The sequence below is a fragment of the Homo sapiens genome, chromosome 13 (genome assembly GCF_000001405.40).
Source record: "Homo sapiens chromosome 13, GRCh38.p14 Primary Assembly".
In the NCBI taxonomy this organism is placed as follows: domain Eukaryota; kingdom Metazoa; phylum Chordata; class Mammalia; order Primates; family Hominidae; genus Homo; species Homo sapiens.
The window spans coordinates 23,226,431-23,241,441 of record NC_000013.11 but is presented as its reverse complement, the minus strand read 5'-3'; the positions used below and the strand labels follow the sequence as shown (position 1 = coordinate 23,241,441).

The 15,011-nt window shown below is 37.8% G+C and overlaps 1 protein-coding gene across 5 annotated transcripts in view; it reads right to left on the bottom strand.

The window, feature by feature from the left end:
* Positions 1-15,011, bottom strand: part of SGCG (sarcoglycan gamma) — a 164,655-nt gene that overhangs the window by 83,721 nt on the left and 65,923 nt on the right. For all 5 annotated transcript variants that reach the window (NM_001378244.1, XM_047430542.1, NM_001378245.1 and 2 more), the window contains one exon: positions 6,730-6,831. In NM_001378244.1, the coding sequence (NP_001365173.1) occupies positions 6,730-6,831 (102 nt within the window). The remainder of the gene's footprint in view (positions 1-6,729; positions 6,832-15,011) is intronic.

The following is a 15,011-nucleotide window of genomic DNA, read 5'->3' as shown; positions in this document are numbered from 1 at the left end:
CTGTTTAGATTTCCTGTTTCTTCTTGTTTCAATCTTGGAAGGTTGTATGTATCCAAATATTTATCCATTTTCCCTAGGCTTTCAAACTTATTGACAAATACTTGTTCATGGTAGCCTCTAATGATGATGTTTTGTATTTCTGTGGTATCCATTATGATGTCTCCTTTTTCATTTATGATTTTATTTGTTTGGATCTTCTGTCTTTGATTTTTGGTCTAACATGTTCTTCTTCTAGTTTCTTAAGGATGAAACTGAGGTCATCGATTTTCTTCTTCTTCTTTTTTTTTTTTTTTGAGATGGAGTCTCGCTCCGTCACCCAGGCTGGAGTGCAGTGGTGTGATCTTGGCTCATTGCAAGTTCTGACTCCTGGGTTCATGCCATTCTCCTGCCTCAGCCTCCCAAGTAGCTGGGACTACAGGCACCCGCCACCACGCCCGGTTAATTTTTTGTATTTTTAGTAGAGACAGGGTTTCACCGTGTTAGGATGGTCTCGATCTCCTGACCTCGTGATCCGCCTGCCTCGGCCTCCCAAAGTGCTGGGATTACAGGCGTGAGCCACCGCACCCGGCCAATTTTCTTCTTTTTTAATATAGGCATTTAATGCCATAAATTTCCGTCTAAGCACTGCCTCAGCTACATCCTCCCAAATTTAATGTTATTGTTTTCTTAATTGTCATTCAGTTCAAAATACTGTTTAATTTCCCTTTGGATTTCTTCTTTGACCCATGGTTATTTATAAATTTTTATATAATTTCCAGTTATTCAAAAAATTTTCAGATATATTTATGTTATAGTTGTCTTATTAAACCCACTATGGTCAGATAACATGTTGGAAGACTTGAATGTTTTTAAATTTATTCAGATTGTTTTATGGTTCAAAATATGATCTATCTTGATAAATGTTCCCTGTGCACTTGAAAAGAACTCTGTCTGCTGTTGTTGAGCAGCATGCTCTGAAAATTTTAATTATATCAAGTTGGTTGATAGCATTGTTCAAGTCTATATGCTTACTGTTTCTATATCCATTTCTCCTATCAGTTATTGAGAGAGGGGTGCTGAAATCCCTGAGTCTAAATGTGAATATTTCTATTCCTTTCTTACAATCTATCAGTTTTGCTTCATGTATATTGATGCTCTGATAGTGGATTCATGAGTGTTTAGAACCATAAATATTGAAGAATTTATTCCTATGTCATCTTAAATGACCCTCTGTATCTCTAAAATATTTATCTGTTTGCTGTGAAATCTACTTTGTCTGTTTTAATATAGTCACTCCAATTTTCTTTTAATTAGTGTTAGTATAGTATAGGTTAGTACAGTATGGTATAACCTTTTACTTTCAACCTATTTGTGTTTTTATAATTAAGGTAGGTTTCTTCTAGATGGCATATAGTTGGACCTTGCTTCTGTGTTCAGTTTCACAGTCTGTCTTTCAGTTGGGGTGTTTTGACCATTTATATTTAATGTGATTATTTTAATGTGACTATGAATTGGTTCAAATATACCAAATTGCTATTTGTTTTCATATTCAACTAATTTTCTCTTTGTTTCCTTTGCCTCCTTTTGGATTAATTATTTATCATTTCATTTTTATCTCCTTAGTTGATGTATTAGCTATACTTTCTGTTTTACGAGTTTACTTTAGATATACTAAGCATCTTTAACTTATTAAGGTCCATCCTCAATAATTTTTGCCACTCACGTGTGATGTGAGAACATTATAGCAGTACCTCTATCTTTTTCTGTTACGGTCTTTGTTTCATTAGTGTCATACATTTTATGCCTATCCTGTTATAACATCCCAAATACATTGTTCTTTTGGCTTTGAGCAAAGTGTCTTCTAACATTTTTTAAAATTATTTTTTGTATAACCACATACTTATGAGTTCTGGTATTTAAAATTTTTTTCTGGTGAACATCTAGATTTTTCTTCTAGCATCATATTCTTTTTGCCAGAAAGGCTTCCTTTAATATTTCTTGTGGTGCTAGTCTGCTGAAGTAACTTGCTTTCAGCTTTAGTAAGTCCAAAAAAGTCTTTATTTTGACTTTGTCTTTTAAAGATACTTTTGCTAGGTAAAGAGTTCTAGGTTGGCCTTTTTTTCTTTTAGTACTTTAAAGTCGGTGCTTCAGTGTCTTCTGGCTTTAAATGTTACTGACTAGAAGGCTGATGTCATATTTTTTTCACTCCTTTGTATGTTATATATCCTTTTTCTCTAGCTACTTCTAAGGCTTTCTCTTTAAGATTTTTCTCTCTTGTTTTTAAGCAATTTAATTACAATGTACCTTGTAGTTTTCCTTGTTTCTTTTGTTTGGGGTTCATTGAACATGTTTTATCTGTAGGCTTAAAGATTTTATCATGCTTGGAAAAAAAGTACACTTTATTCTTTTTAAATAATATTTGTCCTCTCTTCTTTCTTCTTCTTTGGAGATGCCAGTTACACATACATAAAGCCCCTTGACATTGTCCCTCTAGTTACTGATACTCTGTTGCTTTCTTTTTCTAGAAAAAGAAAGTTACTGATATGCTGTTGCTTTCTTTTTCTAGTCATTTTTCTCTGTGCTCCATTTTGGAGAGTATCTATAGCTATACTTTAAATTGTTATTAATCTGTTAGTCCCACCATTGGCTTTTTAAAAATTTCAGTTGTTATACTTTTCATCTCTAGAAGATTCTTTTGTGTTTTTTCTGTCTTTCCATATTTTATGTCTCTCCTTAACATGATTATGCTTTCCTCGACTTTTGTGCACAGATGAAATGTAGTTTTTTAGAACTCTGTTCTGGGATGGAGCAAATCACTTGGAAAAAGCATGCCACTTTCAAGGATTCCTGTTAAGCTTTGTTAGAATGGACCAGAGCAGGATTTTTTTCCTAGTGTTGATCTTGTACCACTTCTGAGCCATGCCCTTCTGTATTCTACCTGATGCCCATAATTTATGAAGTTTTCCACTCTGACTGGTGGGAATATGAACTGTTCCCCACCCTGTGTGAGCTCCAGGCATTGTTCCTTCTGCTCCCTTAGAGTGGGTATTTCACTAGTCTCAAGGTAGCTTCCTCACACACACACACTGGTAAATATTTATCCATAGACTTGGTGGGGGTGGGATGAGGTGAAGTCTCTGCCATCTCTGGAGCGCTGTCCACGTGCAGCAAGCCCCTCCTCTGCAGTACTCCGCCTTGCAAACTGCAGCTGCCTTGGATTCCTTGGCCTCCCAACCCTGTCTCTTCAACTCAGGGAGACCACCTGTGTCTGCATTGGCTCCCCTCCCTCATTGCAGCCTGGAAACTCTCTTCATGCAGTGAGTTAAGGCAATTTGAGGAGTCACTCTTGTTTTTCCTCTTGCAGGGATAACTCTCCTGAGCTGCCCATTGTCCAATATTTGAAAACCACTGTTTCATATATTTTTTTTTTCATTTTTTAGTTGTTTAATGCAGGAGGGTAAACCTATTCCCTGTTATTTCTGCCCTGTAATTTCTCTTCTGATTTTATAATTTCATGTTATTTTAAGGAAAACTCCTTTAAAAATAGCTTTATCTCTTTGAGAATCTTAAGTGTGTTTTTCTAGTCATTTTCAGATTGACTTTTTATTTAGTTGGATATTGATCTTCCTTTATGTAAAGTTTATTGGGCTTTTTTTTTTTTTTAGATGAAGATTTCATCATATGAAATTTCAAGTTTTATGTTCCACTGTGTGGATGTGTCTACCTTTTGGCTCTTACCAGTCTGTCTAAAGTCTGTCCTGTTGTTTTCACTTGGTCCACAGGGCCTCCCAGTCTTTCAGTGGTGGCTTAGGGCTTCTGTCCTCATGACATTCAGGTTCTGGACTGGCATCTTTGTAGCCTCCTCCCCTCAGGTATGCTGCTTTATTCAAATAGTTGTAGCTACTTTTTTATATGCTGCTTTATTCAAATAGTTGTAGCAACTTTATTCAAATAGTTGTAGTTGTTTTCTGTCTTCAGCACTGTCTTATGCAATGGGCTTGCCTGGAGTCCCAGTGAGGTGCCCTTTTGGTCCCTGTCACACTGTGGGCTTTGGCTGTAAGCTAAAGCTTCTTTTCAGGGCTGAGAACTTCACAGATGATCATTTCAAGTAAGGCTTTATTACCACGTATTTGTTTCATTTAGTTTTTCATCATGGCTCTGTAGTTTTTTAAAACCCTTTTTGTTTAAAGGAAATAATTGTTATGTGTTTGAACTAATGGGCATGGTGGATGGGTTTAAGCCATGAATTCAAAGTATGAATTCAATACAGGCCCTCATGTATTACTTTTGAGGGGTTACTGGGTGATCAGATGTTAGAGGCCAGAGTAGCATGTTGAATTATATTTATAAAGAAGAAATTCTCTCAGCTCATCAGTACACATAAGTGAGTTATGTGTCAAATTTTGCAAATTCATAAAGTAATTTCTTTTCTGTAATTTTATGGAAAATTGCTTCCTAGACTCATCTTTGAAAAGGAAATTTATAACTAATATATCAATCCATACAGAAGTTAGGAAGCATAGTTTTGTTCTGGGATGGCTCTTATTGGAAACCATGTTAGTTATAAAACACTGTACAGCTCTGTTATCACATAATATTATTCAAATTGTTACTGAATTTTATGTGTTGATTGACATACTCATTAATGCCACATTCTAAGACTTTAATATGTGATTATCTAAGATATTCGCTATAATTTTGCTTTTTTTAAAAGCATACTGGAGATGAAAAAGCCTGATAAAATATAACTGAGAGTTATTATTATTATTATTGTTATTATTTTTGGAGACGGAGTCTCACTCTGTGGCCCAGGCTGGAGTGCAGTGGCATGATCTCGGCTCACTGCAAGCTCCACCTTCCAGGTTCACGCCATTCTCCTGCCTCAGCCTCCCAAGTAGCTGGGACTACAGGCGCCCGCCACCACGCCCGGCTGATTTTTTTGTATTTTTAGTAGAGACGGGGTTTCACTGTGTTAGCCAGGATGGTCTTGATCTCCTGACCTTGTGATCTGCCCGCCTCGGCCTCCCAAAGTGCTGGGATTACAGGCGTGAGCCACCACGCCTGGCCAACTGAGAGTTATTATTAATTCCAGAATATTAAATTTGCTGTGACCTAGTCACCTGATTTCAGTCACTGGACCATTCTACCAGTCTGATTCTTCCCAAAATATGGCAGGAGATCAGCCAACACAACTCTGGGGAAAAAAGAAGACCAAGTTCTAACACTTGAATGCTTCATTCATGTCTGACTTCCCCTTTTACAAAAGGGAAATCCTGTAGGACAGGATTGTTTCACACTGAAATGCCATCACAATTAAGGTAAGTGTATGACATAAGGTAAGGGTAAGCCTCACAGAATCAGGCTCTTACCTGCCTATTATACTGCAGGTCATCTTCTGGCTCCCACTGCCAATAAGATAGCCCCAGAAGTAACATAACAGCACCTAAAACTACTTATGTACTTTTCACTTACTGGGATCTCTCTTTGTGATATTTATGTGTTAGTCACATGCCATGTCATTTTGCAATTGGTAACAGAGCTTGGCGAATGTCTGGTTCAGGAGTGTGTTTTATGTCTCTAACAAGACCTCATGTTTCTTAGTAAGTCTTTTGTTTCTTTTCTAATTCTCCTATAGTGGCTGGTACAGCCTCTGCAGTTAGGAGATACTGAAATACCCTTTCATATTCAGAAATATGAAAGGAAAATGAAGACTCTGCTCTTCACATAACTAGAAAGTTATAGCTGGGTGAAGTTTTAACTTTTTGTGCGTCAGGGAGGTAATGCCATTTATCAATAATCTAGCAAAATGTTCGTGCCTACTATAATGCTCATAGCATCACTTAAGTAAAAATAGAACATATTGCCAACATTGTTTGAACGTATTTGCACTTTATTCTTGGCTGTCCTTCTTATAAGCTCCATGGAGGTAAATGAAGAAAACCTTGATTTACTTTTAAAGTCACATAAGTATTTAATAACAATGCTGAATCTACTTGTTCAGAATCTTACAGGATCATAATCTGTAATTAGTATAATAAGTGCAGAACATAATACAATGAAACAAATTTCTTTCTTTTTTTTTTTTGTTTTTTCTTCTTTTTTTGAGATGGAGTTTTGCTCTTGTTGCCCAGGCTGGAATGCAGTGGCGCTATCTGGGCTCACCACAACCTCTGCTTCCTGGGTTCAAGCGATTCTCCTACCTCAGCCTCCCGAGTAGCTGGGATTACAGGCATACGCCACCATGCCTGGCTAATTTTGTATTTTTAGTAGAGACGGGGTTTATCCATGTTGGCCAAGCTGGCCCCACCTCAGGTGATCCGCCCACCTCAGCCTCCCAAAGTGCTGGGATTACAGGCGTGAGCCACCGCGCCCAGCTGAAACGAATTTCTTTCTAAGCTTCTTAGATAATTTTGAATACCCTAAAATAAATATATTTAAGTTAGTTGATCTAACATAAAGAAGTTTAAATTGTTCTTGGTAAAAATTTTCATTTCTAAAACCTTTAGTTTATTATGGTCTAAACTACTGAGGCCACCAAATTCAGATCTGAAGCATATTAAATTGAAATATTTTTAGAAGGTAATATCAGAGATAAATTCTGCAATAGTCAAGCTTTTTATAAAGAGCATATCATGAATATGTGCACATGTATGCGCTTTAAAAATCTTCTCTAAACTGTACTGAATTTTTGTGCTTAAACATGATTTATTTTTCATAAAGCACAAATTATTTGTCTTAACATTTTCTTACCACTCTGGAGTGTATTTCTTTGGCATACAATGGGAATAAAAATTCTGATTCCCCTTCCAAGCGCAGTCCATCTTTTGTTACACACAAGTGGCCCATTCCTGCCTGTTAAAAAAAAAAAAGAGACAATGCGTATATTTTTATTGCTTGCTTTTTCATTCCTCTTAATATTGACTTAAATCACACATGTATTTCCATATATTGCCTACCACCTTTTCTGCATTTCTCCTAGTGTATTTAAAACTTTGCATCTTTAATTGAATATTCAATGTCATTAAATCTTGTATAAATACAAAGAGCTCTTTAGAAAACATATATAAAATTTCAAGAGTCATTTTATAATACTCAAGAGCCCATCACCATGTAAGAAAAAGAATCCATTTTTTTAAAAAAAATTAAATTAAGGTACAATAAAATTAATTGTTTTGAGGTGTACAGGTCTATGAGTTTTAACACATATATAGATTTGTCTAATCATCAACACAATCAGAATACAGTATAGTTCCATCACCTGCCCCAAAATACCATAAATACCATCATCTGAGTTCACTCTGTAGTAAATATTTATTGAACACTTCTTAAGTGAAAAGCAAAACAGGAGGATATAGAGGTCTGTTCAAGGTGCCTGCTCTCAAGGAGTTTACAGTCATGAAAGATTACCAGATTGGATGGAAGACATGATTCTGGAGGTCACCAATGACCGCTGTGCTGTTAAAACTTGTGGGCATTTCCCAATTCATGCCCTTTGCATTCTCAGGGGCATTTGGCACTGGACCCCTTCCTCCTTGAAACACTGTCCTCCTTTGGTTTCCATGATGCTGTGCTTGTTTAGTTTCCTCCCACCTGCAGAACCACATTCTTCATCTCCTAACAGGCTCGTCCTCCCTACCCAGCCCTTGACTACCGGCTCCCTCAAGTTCAGTCTTAGGCCCTTTCCTGCGTTCATGCTATGAATTGGCTTCCATTACTATTTCAGTTTGGAGGCTTATCCATTTTTTTCCAAATTTTAAAAATCATGGTAAAATATGTTACATACATTTTACCATCTTAACCACTTTTAAGAGTACAGATCTGTGCTATTAAGTACCTTTGTGATGTTGTGTGACCATCACCACCAATCATCTCTAGAACTGCTTTCATCTTGCACAATTAAACACTATACCCATTAAACAACTAACTCCCCATTCTCCCCTCCACCCAACCACCTGGCAACCACCGTTCTACTTTCTTGTTTTAAAGTTTTAATATGTAATTGAGACATTGTAATTGTACACATTTTGGGGTACAATTTGAAATATATGTATATGGCTATAAGGTCAAATCTTATAGCGTTTCTGTCTCTATGAATTTGATTATTCTAAGTACCTTATGTAAGTGGAATCATATCATATTTATCTTTTTGTGGCTGACTTATTTCACTTAGCATAATGTCCTCTAGGATCTTTCACGTTATAGCATATCATGACATTTCTGTTTTTTTAAGGCTGAATAATATTCTACTGTGTGTACAAACCATATTTTGCTCATCCACTCATCCCATTGATTGATACTTGGGTTGCTTCCACATTTTGGGCATTGTAAATGCTGCTGCTATGAACATGGGTGTGCGAATATCTCTTTGATGCCCTGTTTTCAATTCTTTCGGTATAGAGCCAAAAGCAGAATTGATCGATCATATGCAAATTCTATTGTTAATTTTTTGAGAACTGCCATACTGTTTACCATGGTAGTTATTCAATTTTATATTCTAACAGTGCACAAGAATTCCAATTTCTCTGCATCCTCCCTAACACTTGGTATTTTCTGTTTGATAGCAGCCATCCACATGGAAGAATCCATTTTTATCTGTATTTTATTTTAAATAGTCTGTTCTGAGCTTCATACCCATATATCTGATTGCCTAACTGTCCTCCCCTTCTGACTGTCTTTTTTTTGAGATGGAGTCTTGTACTGTCGCCCAGGCTGGAGTGCAGTGACGTGATCTCAGCTCACTGCAAGCTCCGCCTCCTGGGTTCACACCATTCTCCTGCCTCAGCCTCCCGAGTAGCTGGGACTACAGGTGCCTGCCACCACGCCTGGCTAATTTTTTGTATTTTTAATAGAGACAGGGTTTCACCGTGTTAGCCAGGATGGTCTTGATCTCCTGACCTCATGATCCGCTCACTTCAGCCTCCCACTGTCTTAAAAGCATCTGAATTCAACCAGTTGAGCTTTGATCTTCCCGCTCTTCCCCAAATAGAAAGCATTATTTAAAAAAGGAAAGCAGGACAATCCAAAGGATGAAACAAAGCAATAAGGGACATTTTACGTTGTGACAGGTGAATTTCTAGGATAGAGATATGTTACCCTGAACTGAATATTACCTGCTAGGCAATAGACTTCTACTTTCAAAGACATCATCAGTTGAAAGCTCCATTAACAAGAACCAAATTAAATATGTGATTATGCCTTGTGGTTCAATCCATAAACTACGATTCGAACTGACATTTGGGAGTGGTGGCATTAGCAGTGTGCATGTGGAAGCCCCACACACTGCTAGGTGCAGCTACCTCCCATACTGGGTAGATGAGCTTTTCTGAGCTTTTTTTTTTTTTTTCTTTATGGAATCTCGCTCTGTCTCCCAGGCTGGAGTGCAGTAGTGAAATCTTGGCTCACTGCAACCTCCACCTCCTGGGCTCAAGTGTTTCTCCCACCTCAGCCTCCAGAGTAGCTGGGATTACAGGAGTGTGCCACCTCGCCTGGCTAATTTTTGTATTTTGAGTAGAGATGGGGTTTCGTCATGTTGGCCAGGCTGGTCCTGAACTCCTGACCTCAGGTGATCTGCCCACCTCAGCTTCCCAAAATGTTGGGATTACAGGTGTGAGCCACCGTGCCTGGCCTTCTGAGCTCTTTTATACGTGTGATGCACTGGGAGATTTTGTTTGAAGAAAGGGCTCAGAGTCTAAAGAGGTTGACAACTGCTGTTTGGGATTTTCTCATGGGATCCAGCCAGGCATTTATAATATAGTTTATAAACTTAAACCAACATTAGTAAATTATAAAAATCGATCATGTATGCATAATAAGCCACTTTTTAAAGCAAACATTTCCATTAAAGATTTTATGGCCTAGAGTTAAACAAAGCAGAATTTCAAGACTACAAATTCTGTTCCAAAAATTTGCTGCCAAATTTCTGGGTTCAAGTAAACATATGGTGGCAGTTTTCTGGACTCTATTTGTTATATCACCAAAAAAACCCTAATGTTAATCCTAGCTTCTGTGGTAGCTAATTTACATAGTCAGATTGCCAAAGCTGACTGTTCATTGTCATTTCTTTCTCTGGCTGTTACTTTCCTTATTTGAAAAACATGCAGGAAAATACTAAAGCTACTCAAAAAAAAAAAAAAGAGAAAGAGGGACTCATTCCCAGCTCATTCAAACAGGCAGCATTATCCTGACACTCAAACCTGGCAGAGACACAACAAAAAAGAAAACTTCAGTTCTATATCCTTGATGAACACAGATGCAAAAATCTTCAACAAAATACTAGCAAATCGACTCCAGCAGAAAATCAAAAAGCTAATCCACCATGAAGAAGTAGGCTTTATCCCTGCAATTCAAGGTTGCTTTAACATATGCACATCAATAAATATGATTCATTACATAAACAGAACTAAAGACAAAAAGCACATGATTATCTCAATAGATGTAGAAAAGGCTTTCAATAAAATTCAACACCCTTTCGTGCTAAAACTCTCAATAAACTAAGTATTGAAGGAACATACTTTAAAATAATGAGACTTCTATGACAAACCCACAGCCAATATCATACTGAATGGTTAAAAGCTGGAAGCAGTCCCCTTGAAAACTGGCACAAGACAAGGAAGGAGGCCCTCTCTTACCACTCCTATTCAACACAGTGTTAGAGGTCCTGGTCAGAGCAATCAGGCAAGAGAAAGAAAGAAAAGGTATCCAAATAGGAGGAGAGGAAGTCAAAGTAATCCTGTATGCAGATGACATGATTCTATATTGAGAATAACCCATAGTCTCTGCCCAAAAGCTCCTTGAGATGATAAGCAATTTCAACTAAGTTTTGGGATACAAAATCAATGTACAAAAATCAGTAGCATCCCTATACATTAACAGCACCCCTAAGCTGAGGGCCAAATCAGAAGTGCAGTGCCATTCACAATTGCCACAAAAAGAATAAAACACCTAGGAATACAGCTAACCAAGGGGTGAAAGATCCCTACAATGAGAATTACGAAACACTGCTCAAAGACATCAGAGATGACACAAACAAATGGAAAATATTCCATGCTCATGGATAGGAAGAATCAATATCATTAAAATGGCCATACTGCCCAAAGCAATTTACAGATTCGATGTTATTCCTATCAAACTACCAATGACATTCTTCACAGAATTAGGAAAACTATTCTAAGGTTCATATGGAACAAAAAGAAAAGAGCCCGAATTAGCCAAGACAATCCTAAGCAAAAGGAGCAAGGCTGGAGTTATCACATTGCCCAACTTCAAACTGTACTACAAGGCTACAGTAACCAAAAGAGCACAGTACTGGTACAAAAACAGACACAGACCAAAAGAACAGAATAGAGAGCCCAGAAATAAGGCCACACACCTGCAGCCATCTGATCTTTGACAAAGCTGACAAGAACAAGCAAAGGGGAAATAACTGCCTATTCAATAAATGGTGCTGAGAGCTGGCTAGCCATATGCAGAAGAGTGAAACTGGACCCCTTCCTTACACCATATAAAAAAAATCAACTCAAGATGGATTAAAGAACTAAAAGTAAAACCTAAAACTATAAAAACCTTGGAGGATAAGCTAGGAAATACCATTTAGGATATAGGAACCAGCAAAAATTTCATGATGAAAACAGCAAAATCAACTGCAACAGAAGCCAAAATTGACAAATGAGGCCTCATTAAACTAAAGAGCTTTTGAGCAGCAGAAGGAACTATCAACAGAGTAAACAGGCAGCTGACAGAATGGGAGAAAATATTTGCAAACTTTACATCTGACAAGAGTCTAATATCCAGAATCTACAAGGAACTTAAACATACAAATGAAGAACAAACAACCTCATTAAAAAGTGGGGAAAGGACATGAACACTTTTCAAAAGAAAACACACATGTGGTCAAAAAGCACATGAAAAAATGTTCAGTGTTACTAAATGGAAATCAAAACCACAATGAGCTACAATCTCACACCAGTCAGAATGGGTATTATTAAAAAGTGAAAAATAATAGATGCTGGTGAGGTTGCAGAGAAATAGCAAACACTTATATGCTGCTGGTGAGAGTGTAAATTAGTTCAAGCATTGTGGAAAGCAGTGTGGCAACTCCACAAGGAACTAAAAACAGAACTAACATTCAGCCCAGCAATCCTCCCATTACTGGATATATACCCAAAGAATAAAAATTGTTCTACTATAAAGACACATGCATGCGTTGTGTTCATTGCAGCACTATTCACAATAGCAAAGACATGGAATCAACTTAAATGTCCATCAACAGTAGACTAGATAGGCTGGGCATGGTGGCTCACACTGGGATTACAGTTCCTGTAATCCCAGCACTTTGGGAGGCCAACGCAGGTGGATCATCTGAGGTTAGGAGTTCAAGACCAGCCTGGCCAACATGGTGAAAACCCATCTCTACTAAAAATACAAAAATTAGTTGGGTGTGGTGGCGCATGCCTGTAGTCCCAGCTACTCGGGGGCTGAGGCTGGAGAATCGCTTGAACTCGGGAGGTGGAGGTTGCAGTGAGCCAAGATCGTGCCACTGCACTCCAGCCTGGGTGACAGGGCAGGACCCTGTCTCAAACAAACAAATAAAGAAACAGTAGACTGGATAAGGAAAATGTGGTACATATACACTATGGAATACTATGCAGCCATAAGAAGGAATGAGATCATGTCCTTTGCAGGAACATGGATGGAACTGGAGGCCAATTATCTTTAGCATACTAACACAGGAACAGAAGAACAAATACTGCATGCTCTCACTTATAAGTGGGAGCTAAATAATGAGAACACATGGAAACATAGAGGGGAACAACAGACCCTGGGACCTAATTGAGGGTGGAGGGTGGGAGGAGGGAGAGGTTCAAAAAACAAACAAGCAAACAAAAAACTATCAGGTACTGTGCTTAGTACCTGGGTGACGAAATAATCTGTAAACCAAATGCCCAAGTCATGAGTTTACCTATATAACAAACCTACACATGTATTCCTGAACCTAAAATAAAAGTTAAAATATTTTTTAAAAAGAAAAAAAGTAGGAATTGACATAAGATGACCTGTTTCCTTTCACTTGCAAGATTCTGTTATTTAAATAAAAAATAAATCTATAAACTTCTGCAAACAACAAATCACCAAATAAATGCTTGAAATAAAAAGAAGATGCCTAGCTTTTTGTTTAGTTTTTTACAAGTCGGACAAATTCAGGTGTAATTTACAAACAATAAGATTTACCCTAAATACAATTTCATGAAATAAAGTTCACTAAATAAAATGTCCCTGAAAGTAAATATTTCTGTGAATTTTCACAAGCTCATATAGTTGTACAACTCATCAAGATACAGGACAGCTCTACCACCATAAAATAATGCCCTGTGGCCGGGTGCTGTGGCTCATTTTGGGAGGTCTAGGTGGGCGGACAGCTTCAGCCCAGGAGTTGAAGACCAGCCTGGGCAACATGGCAAAATCCCATCTCTACAAAAAATACAAAAATTAGTTGGGTGTGTTGGTGGGTGCCTGTAGTCTCAGGTACTCTGGAGGCTGAGCGGGGAGGATCCCTTGAGCCCAGGAGGAAGAGGCTGAAGTGAGCTGTGATTGAGCCACTGTACTTTAGCCTTGGCATTGGAGTGAGACCTTGTCTCGAATAATAATAAATAACAATACTAATGTCCCGTGCCCCTCTGCAGGCTCCTTTCTTGTTCACCATGCCCATTCCTTGGTAGCCACTGATCTCATTTCTGTCCCTGAAGCTTTGCCTATTCCAGGACATAACATAGATGGTGATGCAGTATGTAGCCTTTCCAGATAGGCTTCTTTCACTAAAATACTACATCTGATGTCCATCCACGTGGATGTCAGTAGCTTGTTTCTTTCTATGGGTGAGTTGTATTCCATTGGTTGTGTGCCAAACGGTTTGTCCATTCAAGGACATTTGAGTTGTTTGTTGACAATTATGAGAAAAGCTGCTACAGACTTTTACATACAGTTTGTATGGCGGGTCTAAGGTTAACTTTTTAAGAACAAGAACTGTCAAAATGTTGTTTTCCAAAGAGGCCACACCATTTTGCATTCCCATAAGCAATATAGGAGAGTTATAGTTGTTCCGCATTCTTGTCAGCACTTGGTACTGCCAGGTTTTTGTTTTTTTTTTTTTTCCCATTCTTAATAGGTGTATAATGAATTTTTTTCTTTCTGGGATTTTAATTTCTTTAAAAGAATTCATCCAAATGATTATGGTCACAAACATGATTTTCACAAAAAGATTGCTCACCTACCACATCAATGCAGGACAGATGTGGACAGGCAGCCAACACATTGTGCATTACCTAAGCTCTCCTCTTTGAGCTGCCTCATGATGCCATCTTCATTTGGAACAAGGGGGATTCATGCCAAAATTAGGAAAAAGAGCCTCCATTTTCTTTTTCTACATTATTCTAAAAATAAGACAAGCAGGTAGAAAAACAATGCACTGTGAAGATAAAAAGAAAAACTGACATGATTCATTGTCCTAAAATTTGCCAGCTGCCTCATTCCGGGACAGCTTCCCACATATAAAAGGAAAAATATCCTCAAATTGACTTGCTGAACCCTCCTTGTTTTCCTTTTTGTTGACAGCTCAGTTTTCTTTTTTGTTGTACAACCATCACCCCTTCCAGAACTCTTTTCATCTTCCTAAACTGCAACTCGGTACCCACTGAACACTTTGCATTTCCTCCTGCCCCCAGCCCCTGGTAACCAACATTCTACTTTCTGTCTCTATGAATTTGACTACTCTAGGCACCTCGTGTAAGTGGAATCTGAAATATTTGTCCTTTTCCACTTATTTCACCTTATTCTAGTTCCTTTGCCTTTAAATATAAGTTTTTAAATAAGCTTGTTGATTCTACAAACATTTGTGCTGGGATTTCAATTGGCATTGTGTTGAACACAAGTGTCAGCTTGGGAAGAATTGACATCTTAATATCAAGTATTCCAGTGCATGAACACTGTCTATTTTTCCATTTATTTAATTTAAGATGTCTTTCATCAGTGTTTTTTTT